This window comes from Homo sapiens, chromosome 19 (genome assembly GCF_000001405.40).
Source record: "Homo sapiens chromosome 19, GRCh38.p14 Primary Assembly".
Lineage (NCBI taxonomy): Eukaryota > Metazoa > Chordata > Mammalia > Primates > Hominidae > Homo > Homo sapiens.
In genome coordinates, this window is record NC_000019.10 from 12,574,573 (window position 1) to 12,591,746 (window position 17,174).

Here is a 17,174-nt window from a genome sequence, read left to right on the forward strand (position 1 = left end):
GAGGATCAGGGTCTCTGTTGAGATAGAGGCATGGGCAGCGGCAGCAGCAGAGGTACTTAAAGGTCCAGCTGAGTGTGAACTTCAGGACACCATCTAATGGTAGCTTCCCCACCTTCTCTTCTTTCGCATTTTTTCTTTTTTCTTTTTTTTGAGATGGAGTCTCGCTCTGCTGCCCAGGTTTATGTGCAGTAGGGCAATCTTAGCTCACCGCAACCTCCACCTCCCAGGTTCAAGTGATACTCCTGCCTCAGTCTCCTGAGTAGCTGTGATTACAGGTGTAAACCACCACGCCTAGCCTTCTTTCTCACTTTTTTTTTTTTTTTTTTGAGACGGAGTCTTACTCTGTCGCCCAGGCTGGAGTGCAGTGGTGCGATCTCGGCTCACTGCAACCTCTGCCTCCCAGGTTCAAGAGATTCTACTGCCTCAGCCTCCCGAGTAGCTGGCATTACAGGCGTCCACCACTATGCCCAGCTAATTTTTGTATTTTTAGTAGAGATGGGGTTTCACCATAATGGCCAGGCTGGTCTCAAACTTCTGACCTCAGGTGATCTGTCTGCCTTGGCCTCCCAAAGTGGTGGGATTACAAGCGTGAGCCACCACCACTGCGCCAGGCTCTTTCTCATTTTCAAATGACTGCTCTTTCAGGAATGACCACTAATGGGGCCCCAACATGCACAAGATAAAATCTCACCACCAGCCCCCACCACCAGACCTACAGGACAAGGCCAACACCTAGCATCAGTCCCAGCTTCATTCTACATAGAAAGGCAAAGTGAAAACTCCTAGCCCAGACCATTTTAAGGAGGGCCCAAATCCGATACTCCTGCTCCTAAATGCCAAAGACTTATAGAAACTGCCATCTTCGGTTGGCTAAATCTGGAACACAAGTTTGTTCGGCCTCAGCAATGGAACACAGAGCAGCAAGCAGCAGCAGCTCAAAGAGCATGCTGGCCACCAGGTAGCAGAGCAGGTTAGCACCTGAGAGAAAGGGAAAGCTGACCCATTGCATGGTGACCAACATCTAGACATCCTGCTGACAGTGCCAACTGTTACGGTTGCCTGAAAAGGTGTGCTTCAGAGGTTGACACCGAGAGCTATGTGGTGCACACACACACCGAGAGTATGAAAAGGCTTATTACAAAAATGAGGTATCAGAGAGAACAATGCAGGGCTCTCAAGCAAGTGTGACATGGCGTGAGAGCAAGGAAGATGGCATTCCTGTCCCTTATGAGTACTGATGCAAAAATCTTGAAATAAATGCCAGCAAAGCATATAAAGCAATATATTCAAAGCATTATGCAATATAACCAAGTGAGATTTGTCCCTGGAATGTAAGGATGGTTCACCATATGGAAATTGATCAGTGGAATACACCACATTAGGAAATGACGGAAAAATGACAGTCTCAATTGATGCAAAAAAGCATGACATAATTCAACACCCATTTATGATTAAAAATCTGCAACAAACAAGGAATATAATTTACTCAAATTGCTACAAGGCATATATGAAAAACTCAATAAAATCTTTGATGGTGAAAAACCATATTTTTAATATCTAATATCAGAAACAAGGATATTTGCTCTCACCAGCTCCATTCAGTGTTAAGGGGGGTGCTCCCAGGGAAATCAGGCAAGAAAATGCAAGCATTCCAGCCGGGCCTGGTGGCTCAAGCCTCTAATCCCAGCACTTTGAGAGGCCGAGGCAGGCAGATCACAAGGTCAGGAGGGCGAGACCATCCTGGCCAACATGGTGAAACCCCGTCTCTACTAAAAATAAAAAAACTAGCTCGGTATGGTGGCACGCGCCTGTAATCCCAGCTACTCAGGAGGCTGAAACAGGAGAATTGCTTGAACCTGGGAGGCAGAGATTGCAGTGAGCCGAGATCATGCCACTGCAGTCCAGCTTGGTGACAGAGCGAGACTGTGTCTCAAAAAAACAACAAACAAACAAAATAACCAGCCAGGCAGAGTGGCTCACGCCTGTAATCCCAGCACTTTGGGGAGACCGAGGTGGGTGGATCACAAGGTCAGGAGATTGAGACCATCCTGGTCAACATGGTGAAACCCCATCTCTACTAAAAATACAAAAAAATTTAGCTGGTTGTGGTGGCACGCGCCTATAGTCCCAGCTACTCAGGAGGCTGAGGCAGGAGAATTGCTTGAACCTGAGAAGTGGAGGTTGCAGTGAGCCAAGATTGTGCCACTGCACTCCAGCCTGGCAACAGTGAGAATCCATCTCAAAAAAAAAAAAAAAAAAAAAAACCTAAAAGCATTCCATATTTAAAAATATATATAAATATATATACACACAGCCCTCTAGACAAATATACAAAAATCACACACGTTATCACTGTACATACAGGTGGACAGACACAAATTCACAAACCCACAGGTGTAACAGCCCAGATACTAAAAGATTCTCCCAAATAGAAGGACCCCAGGTGTTCTGATCTCTTCTCCAGGTTTCTCTGGCTCCTCGGGAATAACCACCACAGTGCCTTATATATCCTTGCTTGCTTTCGTGTCTTCCAGAATGCCAGGATCAAGGGGACAGAGATATTAGCACAGCTTTGTTGACTACACCTATTAGAGGGAGTTACACAGAGGAAAATACTTACTGAATATTAGGACTCACACAGACACATACACAAAAGGGTTTTACAAAAACATCATCATAGACCCACATATACTTGTCCTTCAAAAAGTGAATGTTCTCACTCCCATTCCTGTAGCAGAGATACCCCTTAGTTCCCCAATACCTATCACAAAAGATGGCTCCTTGAGCCCATTCTGACAGTGAAGGAATCTCGAACTTCCTGACCTCCCACAGTACAATAATCATCTCTCTACAAAAGCACAACATGGCAGCTCAAGAATGTGAAAGGACCTGAAATGGGTTGAGTAATAATGTTCCAACCCCTCATACTACCATAAATGTTCCTGGTGAGAGAAGCGAATGTTCCTGGTGAGAGAAGCGAAGGTGTGCATCTCCTGGCTCAGCCACCAGGTCCTCCACTGCATCTCCACAGTAGCCGTCACTTCCACTGAGGCCTCATCTGCCAGCAAACCTTGCTCCAGTCGGCCTCTGGACCCTAGTATCTTCACCGTGGTTTTGGATGCTGCCACCTGACCCATCCCTGCTGTTGGGGGAGGGTGGAGGCCAGAGGCCTAAAGAGTTCCGACCCGAGCGACACAAAGATCACTTCTGGGACCCACCCAGGGAGACTGTTGTTACGAGGGTGGATGGTGACCTGGTTTCCCTCAATGCTGCCACCTCCCTTCTAAAACACACTGACTTGCTAAGAAAAGGGGGGACTGACTCCAACAAAGGACAGACCCGACCCCTATCGTGCCTATGCAATTCAGAAAACGGAGAATTCGGAGGCTCCAGCAAGCAGTTTATTGGGAGTTGAGTTCACCTTGCCTTGTGATGTGAAGCAAGGTAGTTCCATGGCTTGTGAACCCTGACACCAGCACCTCCCATACACAACAGAGCTGGAGCGCTGCAGGGTGGGTCCTTTTCCAAGAAGAGCTAAGTGCTAGTCTTAGCGGGAGGCTAGGAAACCAGTCCTGGAGCAGGATGCATGTGACATGCACTGACGTGAGAAGGCCGGAGCATCATCAGTGCATATGCCGCTGAATATCTCAGGGTAGAATGTGCCAGAAAACAGGGAAAGCAAGTTAGGGGAGGTAAGAATTCTGAGTGTCCTACAGCTAAGACATGGCAGAGTGTGTCTGTGACTCCACTAGCAGTTTTGAGATTATTCTGACTGTGGTGGTTGGTGCAGGGCTGGTAACCGCAGGAGAGTGGATGCTGTGTGGTCAAGGGGTGTGTGTCCCATGATACAGGCTCTGCTTCTTCAGTCTCTCACCTCAGAGCCACCTGCGGTTGCCACAGAGAAATTCAGATGTGAATGTTTAAACAAGTGTCCAAAGTGTAGGTTTGAGATGGGAAATGGAGCTGGAGATGACCTCAAAACAGCCCTGGAATAATGCAATGCTGACAATGTCTGTGAATTAGGATGTGCATAGGCAGATCCCACTTGGGGAAAAACTGTAAGATGCGAACCTTTGTCTTAGAAGTACAGCATTCCCACAGTCTGACCCGAGGACACTGATGGAAACTTAAAAGGCAGATTCTGGGAGTCTTCTCACTTCTCTCCAGTCATGTGTGAGAGCTGAGGGCAGGCACTGCCCTAGAGGGTGTTTCCTAACTTCTGACTGGATGCCACAAAAGGCCTGCTGGGGCCCAAGTCCTTCTTCCCCATTCCTTTAATTCTTCCTACGAAGAATCTCGACAATGGTTGCAGATGTCATTGAAGATGTTCCCATATTGCTTACATTTAAGAAGGTGGCTCTCCAGTGTGGGTGGTTTCATGGTTTTAAAATGAACTGGAGGCCGGGCGCGGTGGCTCACGCCTATAATCCCAGCACTTTGGGAGGCCGAGGAGGGCGGATCACGAGGTCAGGAGATCAAGACTATCCTGGCTAACACGGTGAAACCCCGTCTCCACTAAAAATACAAAAAATGAGCCGGGCGTGGTGGCGGGCGCCTGTAGTCCCAGCTACTCGGGAGGCTGAGGCAGGAGAATGGCGTGAACCCAGGAGGCGGAGCTTGCAGTGAGCTGAGATCGCGCCACTGCACTCCAGCCTGGGCAAGGACTCCGTCTCAAAAAAAAAAAAAAAGAACTGGGGGCCGGGTGTGGTGGCTCACGCCTGTAATCCCAGCACTTTGGGAGGCCAAGGCAGGTGGATTACCTGAGGTCAGGAGTTCAAGACCAGCCTGGCCAACATGGTGAAACCCCGTCTCTACTAAAAATATAAAAATTAGTTGGGCGTGGTGGCATGTGCCTGTAATGCCAGCTACTAGGGGGCCTGAGGCAGGATTGCTTTGACCTGGGAGGCAGAGGTTGCGCCACTTTCACTCCAGCCTAGGCAACAGAGTAAGACTCCAGCTCAAAAAAAAAAAAAAAAAAAAGTAAAACGAACAATTTGGGAGGCCAAGGTGGGTGGATCATTTGAGGTCAAGAGTTTAAGATCAGCCTGGTCAACATGGTGAAACACTGTCTCTACTAAAAATATAAAAATTAGCTGGGCATGGTGGTGGGCACTTGTAATCCCAGCTACTTGGAAGGCTGAGGCAGAAGAATTGCTTGAACCCAGAGGTTACAGTGAGCCAGGATCACACCACTGCACTCCAGCCTGGGGCAACAGAGTGAGACACCATCTTGGGGTGCGGCGGGGAAAAAAAGGTTGGGTGCTGTGGCTCACACCTGTAATCCCAGCACTTTGGGAGGCCGAGGCAGGCAGATCACCTGAGGTCAGGAGTTTGAGACCAGCCTGACCAACATGGAGAAACCCCATCTCTACTAAAATTACAAAATTAGCCAGGCGTGGTGGCGCATGCCTGTAATCCCAGCTTCTTGGGAGGCTGCGGCAGGAGAATTGCTTGAATCCGGGAGGCGGAGGTTGCGGTGAGCCGCGATCGCACCACTGCACTCCAGCCTGGGCAACAAGAGCAAAATTACATCTCAACAAAAACAAAAACAAAAAACAAACCCCACAAAAGATGGGATGGATATAGAATTTTCTTTATAGTTTCTCTCCAGTATATATTCTCAGGTGTCTTTAAAAGATTACGTGAAGTGAAGGCTTTCCTACACTCCATACATTCGTAGCTTTTCTGTCCATGGAGTCCATTCACATATCTGCAATCCCGCAGGAGAGTGCAAGTTCCTCCCCCATTTGTTAAATATTTCATTGCCGCATGAGTCACGTCTTCAAAGGGAATTAGGACAACTGAAGGCTTAATCACACCGTTTACATTCCTTGAATTTCTCTCCAGCGTAAGTACTCTCATACATCCAAAAGGAACTAATACAACTGACAGCATTACCACACTTTACTTTCTTAGGGCTTCTGTCTACTATGAGTCCTTTCGTGCACGTGCAAAGACTTTGAGTAACTGAAGGCTTTACCACATTGTCTACACTGAAAGGGTCTTTCTCCAGTATGAATTCTTTTGTGTACTTTCAGGGAATTTAAACAAGTGAAAGCTTTGCCACACTGCTTACACTCACATGGTTTCACTCCAGTGTGACTTCTTTCGTGCCTTCGAAGGTGACTGAAGTAAATGAAGACCCGACCACACTGTTTGCATTCATAGGGTTTCTCTCTAGTATGGGTTCTTTCATGGATTCGAAAGTGAGTGGAATAAAGAAAGGCTTTACCACATTCTTTACATTCGTAAGTTTTCTCGCCAGTGTGAACTCTTTCGTGCAACTGAAGGTAACTTGAAGAATTGAAGGCTTTACCACATTGTTTACATTCATAGGGTTTTTCTCCAAAATGAGTTCTTTCGTGCACTTCACAGGAACTAGATGACTTGAAGGCTTCCCCACATTTCTTACATGTATAAGGTTGAACTCCGGTGTGGGTTTTCACGTGTTTTCGAAGGCTTGAGTGAGAAAAGAAGGCTCTCCCACATTCCCTACATACAAAAGGTTTCTCTCCAGTATGAGTTTTCTCATGACTCCGTAAGTACGTGGGACAACTGAAGGCTTTCCCACATTGCTTACATTCATAAGGTTTCTCTCCAGTGTGAGTCCTTTCGTGGGTTAGAAAAGGCTGGTAATATATAAAGGCTTTTCCACACTGTTTACATTTGTAGGGTTTCTCTCCAGTGTGATTTTTTTCATGGCGCCGAAGAGCAGTGAGATATCTGAATGCCTTCCCACATTCCTTACATTCATAGGGTGTCTCTCCAGTATGAATTCTTATATGGTTTCGAAAGGAAAAGAGAAATGCGAAGGCTTTGCCACATTCCTTACATTCATAGGGTTTCTCTCCAGTGTGAATTCTTTCATGGGTTCGAATACTGGAGCTGCGAGTGAAGGTTTTCCCACATTCTTTGCATTTATGTGGCTTCTCTCCATATTCGTGACACTCATTTGGTTTCTGTTCAGTGTGAGATCTCATGTGCCTATTAAGGGAGACCTGATGCATGAAGACTTCCCCACACACACTGCAGTCACATGGTTTTAATCCAGTAGGAGTTTCCAGGTTCGTATTAAGATCAGGAATCTGGCTAGTGCTTTTTCCACATGGACAATCTTCTTTATTTTCACAGAGTGCTTCAACCATAGGACTTCTGTAAAGAATGAGTACCGTATTATTAATAGTTTTGTATTAATGATCTTATATTTATTAGCAAGTACCAGAATTACATTTTAAATATTTTCACAGAAACTGTATGTTATCTGCCCTGTCTAAATTGTTTTGAAAGCTAATATACTCAATAGTCTAGAACAGGCCGTGACCATAGCTATTATCAAAATAGTTAAAAAAAAATTATTATTATTATTTTTGAGACGGAGTCTCTCTGTTGCCCAGGCTGGAGTGCAGTGGCGTGATCTCAGCTCACTGCAACCTCCGCCTCCTGGGTTCAAGTGATTCTCCTGCCTCAGCCTCCCAAGTAGCTGGGATTGCAGACATGCACCACCACGCCCCGCTAATTTTATATCTTTTTTAGTAGAGACGGGGTCTCAAACTCCTGACCTCAGGTGATCCGCTCGCCTCAGCCTCCCAAAGTGCTGGGATTACAGGCGTGAGCCACTGCGCCCAGCCAGGATTTTTAAATGCTGTTTCATAGTGATTTCTTCTCACACCCTGAACATCTATTGCTTTTTTTTTTTTCCTGTAGAGACAGGTTTTCACTATGTTGACCAGGCTGGTGTTGAACTCCTGGCCTCAAGCAATTCTCCAGCCTTCACCTACCAAAGGCTGGGATTAGAGGTATTCGCTACCTTACCCAGCCAATGACAGTTTCTGTTGTTTTTTTAGACGGAGTCTCGCTCTGTCACCAGGCTGCAGTGCAGTGGATCGATCTCAGCTCACTGCAACCTCCACCTCCCAGGTTCAAGCGATTCTCCTGCCTCAGCCTCCCGAGTAGCTGGGACTATAGGTGCACGCCACCACGCCCGGCTAATTTTTTGTATTTTTAGTAGAGACAGGGTTTCATCATGTTGGCCAGGATGGTCTCGATCTCCTGATCTCATGATCCACTGGCCTCAGCCTCCCAAAGTGCTGGGATTACAGACATGAGCCACCACGCCTGGCTGCCCATGACAGTTTCAATGAAACACCTTCAGTAAAAATTTTCTAAGAATGAATAAACCTGAAACTCTGCTTATTGTTTTGCTTGCTTGGCTTTTGAAATTTATGAAATACTAAGATTCTCTCAGGGGCTATATAATTATTTGTGAATGCAACTCACCTTAGATTTCTTCCCTGGTTTTTGTGTTCATCTTCAATATCCTGGTCTTTCCATTTTTCCCCTAAAATACAAGCCCAGAGAACTCACAATAAATTATTAGAAATTATAGAAAATTATAACACTCTAAGATCCATGATTAGCTATTGATTAGCTATGACACTGTCTGATCTACTTACTAAAGTATTCTCTTCCCACATTTTTTTTTTTTTTTTGAGACAGAGTCTCGCTGTTGCCCAGGCTGGAGTGCAATGGCGCGGTCTCAGCTCACTGCAACCTCGGCCTCCCGGGTTCAAGCAATTCTCCTGCCTCAGCCTCCTGAGTAGCCAGAATTACAGGCACCTGCCACCAGGCCTGGCTAATTTTTTATTTTTAGTAGAGACAGGGTTTCACCATGTTGGTCAGGCTGGTCTCAGACTCCTGACCTCTTAATCCGCCCGCCTCAGCCTCCCAAAGCACTGGGATTACAGGCGCGAGCCACCGTGCCTGGCCCCTTCCCCCATTTTAAACCTTGGAACTCAGTTGTTGTGCAAGAAACACCTGTTCCCTCCTTAATTAAGTAGAGAAATTATGTCACCCTTACCTATACAGGCCAGGTTCTTGAAGGTTGCCCGCATCACATCTCTGTAGATATTCCTCTGGCCAGGATCCAGCAAAGCCCACTCCTCCAGGGTGAAGTTCACAGCCACATCCTCAAGGGAGATGGAGTCCTAAAACATCCCCCATGTGTGTTTAGGAGGAGGAGAGAGATTCGCAGTAGTGAGGATCCATTCTCAGAATTCCTGAGAAATTCCATATAATCCTGTAGTCTCGGTTTAGTGGTATAACTTGGTTGTCAGAACTCTTGACTCTTTCCATACTCACTTCCTCATAAATTTAACACTATCGTGAACATACAAAAATTATTGCGCTCTCTCTCTCTCTCTCTCTCTCTCTCTCTCTCTCTATATATATATATATATATATTTTTTTTTTTTTTTTTTTGAAACATTCTTGCTCTGTCGCCCAGGCTGGAGTGCAGTGGCACAATGTCGGCTCACTGAAAGCTCCGCCTCCTGGGTTCACACCATTCTCCTGTCTCAGCCTCCCGAGTAGCTGGGACTACAGGCGCCCACCACCACACCCAGCTAATTTTTTGTATTTTTAGTAGAGACAGAGTTTCACCGTGTTAGCCAAGATGGTTTCCATCTCCTGACCTCGTGATCCGCCCGCCTCGGCCTCCCAGAGTGCTGGGATTACAGGCGTGAGCCACCGCACCCTGCCATTATTTCTATATTTTAACTGTGATCACTTGAAGCCTTATTGTTCTTTTTCTTTTTATTTTTTTTGAGATGGAGTCTTGCTCTGTTGCTCAGGCTGGAGTGCAATGGTGCGATCTTGGCTCACTGCAACCTCCTCCTCCCAGGTTCCAGTGATTATCCTGCCCCAACCTCCCAAGTAGCTGGGACTACAGGCGCGTGCCACCACGCCCAGCTAATTTTTTGTATTTTTAGTAGAGACGGGGTTTCACCATGTTAGCCAGGATGGTCTTGATCTCCTGACCTCGTGAATCGCCCCCCTCGGCCTCCCAAAGTGCTGGGATTACAGGCGTGAGCCACCGCGCCCGGCCACCTTATTGCTCTTTAAATACAGACCCAAGACCATCTTGGATATATGAGAGAAATGCTGTACAAATGAAACAAATTGTAAGATCATCAATTCCTCGTGAGAAAAACTCTTTCATTTTCTACCTTATTACATACTGTACCACTCAGCATTTCATGAAACTTGGGGTCAAATCTGGATGAGATTTTAATAAATGAATACACCCTTTAGACTATAAGCTGCACATCTCCCATTGAGGATGAAAAACTGTGTATTTTTCTTTTTCATAAACAACATGAGAGATCAGGAAGTCTGTGAAAAGCCAGAAGTCACTGGCCATGTTGCCCTGAAGGATCTCGGGCCATTAGAACCATGCAAATCCAGGTGGCTGAATGAAAATATTCTTCTGCATTAGTATTAATTTCAACGTGTTTGTGTAATATTTATCATAGGTTCAGTTTTTCCTTTCTGTCTCATTTCATGGGTCTAGGAGGTTATTGGAAAGAAAGCACAGCAACTTGGACCTCTATAAACCCCTGTACTCATGAAGGTTTATTACTCGCATGCTTGAGCTCTCAGGCAAAGCTGTGTAACTCTCAAGCACTTGTGAAGTGGCTTCGGAGAGCAAGAAAAGGAGCCTGGCTGGGGATTTTTACTGACATTAGGGAGTGGGCTAGTGTGAGTTCAAGCATACAGGTGGAGGCTGATGCGAATTGGCTCTGTCGCCAGCACCAAATGAGGGTGACCCAGGCTTTCTTCCTACCACGTCCATATGTGGGGTACACAGTGGAAACTGAGGAATGAGGTTTTAAAGCTGTGAGCAGTCAAAAGCCAGGCGGGGTGGCTCACGCCTATAATCCCAGCACTTTGGGAGGCAGAGGTGGGCAGATCATTTGAGGTCAGGAGTCCAAGCACTAAACCTCCAGCCCTTTTTCTCTCCCCCGACTTTGGGGGCTAGGGCTAGAGGAAGATCAAGACTGGGTGTCTTTCGGGACATCAATCCCCACCCTGAAGTTAGGTAGGCATTCTTTCCAGTAGTCATTTATTTACAACAAGAGAGGGTCCATTACCCTTATCACTCATGAAATTCCAAGAGATTTAGGAACTCTGTACTAGGAACCACACACAAAGACCAAACAAATGTCTTTCTTATCATAGCAAAGAACATCATGGCTCGGGGCACAGGCTCACCAGAAGACAGATGATTCATAGGATTATATCATGTTTCCACTCCAGCCACTGGTAACAGTGTGACATTAGAGTTTTGTTTTTATTTTGAGACCCAGTCTCGCTCTGTCACCCAGGCTGGAGTGCAGTGGTGCAATCTTGGCTCACTACAACCCCTGCCTCCAGCATTCAAGCAGTTCTCCTGCCTCAGCCAACAGAGTAGCTGGGATTACAGGCATACACAACCACACCCAGCTAATTTTTGTATTTTTAGTAGAGACAGGGTGTTTCTTCATGTTGGCCAGGATGGTGTCGAACTCCTACCTCAAGTAATTTGCCTGCCTTGGCCTCCCAAAATGCTAGGATTACAGGAATGAGTCACCACTCCTGGCCTGGGTTTTTGTTTTAAAACAGTAGAACAGGCCAGGTGTGGTGGCTCACGACTGTAATCCCAGCACTTTGGGAGGCGGGGGGCGGGCAGATCACTTGACATCAGGAGTTTGAGACCAGCCTGGCCAACATAGCAAAACCCCATCTCTACTAAAAATACAAAAATTTGCCGGGTGTGGTGGGCACCTGTAATCCCGGCTACTTGGGAGGCTGAGGGAAGAGAATCGCTTAAACCTGGGAGGCAGAGGTTGCAGTGAGCCAAGATCGTGCCCCTGCACTCCAGCCTGGGCGACAGAGCGAAACTCCACCTCAAAAAATAAAATAAAATAAAATAAAATAAAACAGTAGAATACAATGAAACAATATTCTATTTCTTTCTGCATGTTTCACAATTGAAGAAATCTCTAGAGAACCCCAAAAATGACAGAACACAGAAAACCAGGGACACCAAAGGCAATTTTATCTGACACCTACAGTTACTGAAAATAGTAAACACAGCCTAAAATCAACAGGATAAACCTAAACCCTCACATTTAAAGCCTGTTTACCTCAGTTCCTTTTCAACACCATGCCCAGATCTCAACAAAAATTACAAGATATATTAAAAGACTTAGACGGTTTGAAGAGAGAGTGCAGGCATCAGAACCAGACTGAGATATAAAAGAGATGCTGGAATTATCAGACCAGAAATTTATTTCTTTTCTTTTTTTTTTGAGACAGAGTCTTACTCTGTTGCCTAGGCTGGATTGCAGTGACACAATCTCAGCTCACTGATACTGTCATAGTGGATAAAAAAGAACACCTGGCCAGGCGTGGCTCACGCCTGTAATCCCAGAACTTTGGGAGGCCGAGGCAGGAGGACCTCTTGAGGTCAGGAGTTCAAGACCAGCCTGACCAACATGGAGAAACCCTGTCTCTACTAAAAATACAAAATTAGTCAGGTGCAGCGGCACATGCCTGTAATCCCAGCTACTCACGAGGCAGGAGAATCACTTGAACTTGGGAGGCAGAGGTTGCAGTGAGGCGAGATCGCGCCATGGCTCTCCAGCCTGGGCAACAGGAATAAAACTCCATCTCAAAAAAAAAAAAAGAAAAAGAAAAAAGAATACCTAATATATGTTGTCTGCAAGAAATTCGCTTTTTTTTTTTTTTTTACTTTGTTTTTTAGAGACAGGGCCATGCTCTGTCACCCAGGCTGGAGTGCAGTTGTGGGATGACAGATGACTATAACCTCAAACTCCTGGGCTCAAAGGACTCTCACCTCAGCCTCTGAGTAGCTGGAACTACAGGTGTGCACTACCATCCCTTGATAATTTTGTTTCTTTTTATAGAGATGGGGTCTCACTATGTTGCCCAGGCTTGTCTCAAACTCCTGGCCTCAAGCAATCATCCTGCCTCAGCCTCCCAAAATGCTGGGATTACAGGTGCGAGCCACCATACCTAGGCCAACAAATCCACTTTAAATATATCACAAAGATTGGGGGGAGGGGGGAGGGATAGCATTAGGAGATATACCTAATGTAAATGACCAGTTAATGGGTACAGCACACCAACATGGCACATGTACACATATGTAACAAACCTGCACGTTGTGCACATGTACCCTAGAACTTAAAGTATAATAATAAAAAGTAATAATAAATAAATATATCACAAAGATATATTAAAAATAAAGGAATAGAGAAAGATATACTATGCTAACACTAATTATTATTATTATTATTTTGAGACAAAGTCTCACTCTGCCACCCAGGCTGGAGTGCAGTGGCGCAATCTTGGCTCACTGCAACCTCCACCTCCCGGGTTCAAGCGATTCTCCTGCCTCAGTCTCCTGAGTAGCTGGGATTACAGGCGCACACTACCACACCCAGCTAATATTTTTTGTTTGTTTGTTTGTTTGAGTCGAAGTTTCGCTCTTGTTGCCCAGGCTGGAGTGCGATGGCGCAATCTCGGCTCGCTACAACCTCCGCCTCCCAGGTTCAAGCGATTCTTCTGCCTCAGCCTCCTGAGTAGCTGGAATTGCAGGCACCTGCCACCACGCCTGGCTAATTTTTGTATTTTTAGTAGAGACAGGGTTTCACCATGTTGGCCAGGCTGGTCTCAAACTCCTGACCTCAGGCGATCCGCCTGCCTCCCAAAGTGCTGAGATTACAAGCGTGAGACACCATGCCTGGTCAATTTTTATATTTTTAGTAGAGATAGGGTTTCACCACGTTGGTTAGGCTGGTGGCAAACTCCCGACCTCGTGATGTGCCCGCCTTGGCCTCCCTAAGTGCTGGGATTACAAGCATGAACCACCATGCCCGGCCAACACTAATTTTTTAAAAGCTGGCACAGCCTTATTAATTTCAGAAAAAGCTGACTTCATAGCATGAAATTATCAGTGATAGAAGGGCATTACATACTGACAAAGGGGTTAATTCACCAAGAAGACAAGGCAATCCTTACTGTGTATGTACATAACCACAGAGTGGCAAAATATATGAGGGGAAAACTAATACAACTGCAGGAAGAAATACATGAATTCACTGGTACAGCTGTATATTTCAATAACCCCCAGCATTAATTTAGAGATCCAGCAGGCAGAAATCAGGAAGGACATAATTAAATTGAACAGCACCATCAAAACAACTGGACTTAATTGAAATCCAGAATAATTCATTCAGTAACAGCAGAATATACATTCTTCTCAAGTTCACATGGAATATTCACCAAGATATCTCACATTCTGGTAAATAAAATACTTCCTAGCAAATTTAAAAGACTAGAGAATACAAAACATGTTCTCAGATCCAGAATTGATAACAGAAAGATAGCTTGAAAACCCACAAATATTTGGATATTAAATCCTGAACTTCTAAATAATGCATGGATGAGAAAAGTCTCAAGATATTAAAAATTATTTTGAATTAAATAAAAATAGAACTTATCAAAACACGTAGAATGCAGCAAAAGGAGTGCCTGGCTGAAATGTAGACGATTGAACACATATACCACCAAAGAATGATCTGTAATCAATAATCTCAGTGTCTAACTTAAAAAACTAATAACAGGCCAGGTATGGTGGCTCACGCCTGTAATCCCAGCGCTTTGGGAGGCTGAGTCAGGCAGATCACCTGAGGTCAGGACTTCGAGACCAGCCTGGCCAACATGGTGAAACCCCATCTCTACAAATACAAAATTACAAAAATACTCTCTCATGTACTCTAAAATACAAAAATTAGCCAGGCATGGTGGCACAGGCCTATAATCCCAGCTACTTGGGAGGCTGAGGCAGGAGAATCACTTGAACCCAGGAGGCAGAGGTTGCAGTGAGCCCAGATCGCGCCATCACACTGCAGCCTGGGTGACAGAGCGAGACTCTGTCTCAAAAAAAATAGATAGAGAAAAACCAACAAAACCAAAAGGTGGTCTTGTGAAAATATCAATAATTAACTGAAAAATGTCTCCTCAAGCTAGCTAACAACAAAAAGACAAAGATTGTTAATATGACGAAAGGGGGAAAATGAAGAAGCACTTGACAAAATTGAACATCTATTTATGATAGCAAACTAGGAATAGAAGGGAATTTCTTCTTCTTCTTTTTTTTTTTTTTTTTTGAGACAGGTCTCACTAAATTGCCCAGGCTGGAGTATATTGGCTATTCAGAGGCGCCGTCATAGTGCTATAGCCTCAAACTGGTGGGCTCCAGCAATCTTCTTGCCTTGGCCCCGCAAGCAGCAAAGACTATAGGTGCATGCCACTGCATCGGGCAAGAGGAACTTCTTGAGAAAGTACATACAAGAAACCTGCAGTTAACATCACGCTTAATGTGAAAAACTAGATGTTTTCCCAGTAATATGAGGAACAAGGTAAGAAAGACCCTTCTCACACTCTCACCATTCATGTATGTATGTATGTATGTATGTATGTATGTATGTATGTATTTATTTATTTATTTATTTAGTGAGAGAGTCTCACTCTGTCACCCAGGCTGGAGTGCACTGGCACGATCTCGGCTCACTGCAATCTCCGCCTCCTGGGTTCAAGCAATTCTCCTGCCTCAGCCTCCGGAGTAGCTGGGATTACAGGCATGTGCCACCACGCCCCGCTAATTTTTTTGTATTTTTAGTAGAGACGGGGTTTCACCATATTGACCAGGCTGGTCTGGAACTCCTGACCTTGTGATACGCCCGTCTCAGCCTCCCAAAGTGCTGGGATTACAGGCATGAGCCACCATGCCTGGCCTTTTTTTTTTTTTCTTTGAGATGGAGTTTCGCTCTGTTGCCCAGGCTGGAGTGCACTGGTGCCATCTCAGCTCACTGTAACCACCTCCACCTCCCGGGTTCAAGAGATTTTCCTGCCTCAGCCTCCTGAGTAGCTGGGATTACAGGTGCACCCAACCATGTCCAGCTAATTTGTATATTTTTAGTAGAGATGGGGTTTCACCATGTTGGCCAGGCTGGTCCTGAACTCTTGACCTCAATGATCCCCCCAACCCCTGCCTCGGCCTCCTAAAGTGCTGGATTACAGGCATGAGCCACCGTGCCTGGCCCCTCTCACCATTTCTATTCAATATTGTACAACAGTGAAACTAAGAAAAAGAAAAAGAAATAAAAGATATACCAACTGGGAAGGAAGAACTAAAGCTGTCTATCTGCATATGACATGACTGCGTATGTAGAGAATTTCAAAAATCTACAACAAAGAAAATTCCTGGAACCAATAAGAGCAAGGTTGAAGGACACAAGCTCAACATATAAGGCCAACTCCTTTCCTACACAGCCACACAAATATAGTCAACTGATCTTTGATGAAGAACCAAAGGCAGCTGGGTGTGGTGGCTCACGCCTGTAATCCCAGCACTTTGGGAGGCTAAGATGGGGTGGATCACTTCAGCCCAGGAGTTCAAGACCAATGTGGGCAACATAACAACACTCCATCTCTATTTCTTTAAAAAAAAAAAAATTTTTTTTAAATAAAAGAAAAATTAAATGAAAATAGATCAAAGATGTAACTGTAAAATACAATAAGACTCCTAGAGGATAATATATAAAATCTAGATGACCTTGGGTTTGATGATGAATTATAACATAAATTATAAGTTTGACTTCATTAAAATAAAAAAGTCCTGCTCTGGGGCCGGGCACGGTGGCTCATGCCTGTAATCCCAACTCTTTGGGAGGCCGAGGTGGGCGGATGACTTGAGGTCAGGAATTTGAGACCAGTCTAGCCGACATGGTGAAACCCTGTCTCTACTAAAAATACAAAAATTAGCCAGGTGTGGTGGTGCATGCCTGTAGTCCCAGCTACTTGGCAGGCTGAGGTAGAATAAATCGCTTGAACCTGAGAAGCTGATGTTGCAGTGAGCCGAGATTACGCCACTGCACTCCAGCCTGACTGACAGAGACTCCATCCCCGCCGCCCCCCCAAAAAAGAGTCCTGCTCTGGGAAAGACCATGTTAAGAAAATGAAAAGACAAGCTACAGACAGGGAGAAATTCTTTGCAAAACACCTATCTGACAAAGGACTGATATTCCAACTACTAAAAGAACTATTAAAACTCAGTAACAGGAAGACAATCCAATTAAAAATGGGCAAAAGATATGAACATACACATCACCAGAGAAGATTTAGAGATGGTAAAGCAGCACATCAAAACATGCTCAACGTCACACAGCATTAGGGAATAAAAAAAAACTAAGATAAATAAAACTGAGTAAGATATTACCACACTCACTAAATGGCTAAATTTTAAAACACTAAAAACACCAAATGAT

At 45.1% G+C, this 17,174-nt stretch overlaps 1 protein-coding gene across 1 annotated transcript in view, besides 1 other annotated feature; it reads right to left on the reverse strand.

Annotated features, from left to right (window-relative positions):
- Nucleotides 1-1,527: 1,527 nt before the first annotated feature.
- ZNF490 (zinc finger protein 490) overlaps nt 1,528-17,174 on the reverse strand; it is a 34,714-nt gene continuing 19,067 nt past the window's right edge. The window contains exons 3-5 of the mRNA NM_020714.3: nt 8,858-8,984; nt 8,278-8,338; nt 1,528-7,152 (exon numbers count right to left, since the gene is read on the reverse strand). Coding sequence (NP_065765.1) covers nt 5,913-7,152; nt 8,278-8,338; nt 8,858-8,984 — 1,428 coding nt within the window. The 3' untranslated portion in view covers nt 1,528-5,912. The remainder of the gene's footprint in view (nt 7,153-8,277; nt 8,339-8,857; nt 8,985-17,174) is intronic.
- Nucleotides 5,352-6,551: an enhancer, noted in NCBI's record as "P300/CBP strongly-dependent group 1 enhancer chr19:12690738-12691937 (GRCh37/hg19 assembly coordinates)". NCBI's record gives its function as "activates an origin of replication core promoter dependent on BRD2, BRD4, P300/CBP, MED14 and CDK7 cofactors, with strong dependence on P300/CBP, by STARR-seq in HCT116 cells {active_cell/tissue: HCT116}" and the evidence as "EXISTENCE:reporter gene assay evidence [ECO:0000049][PMID:35650434]".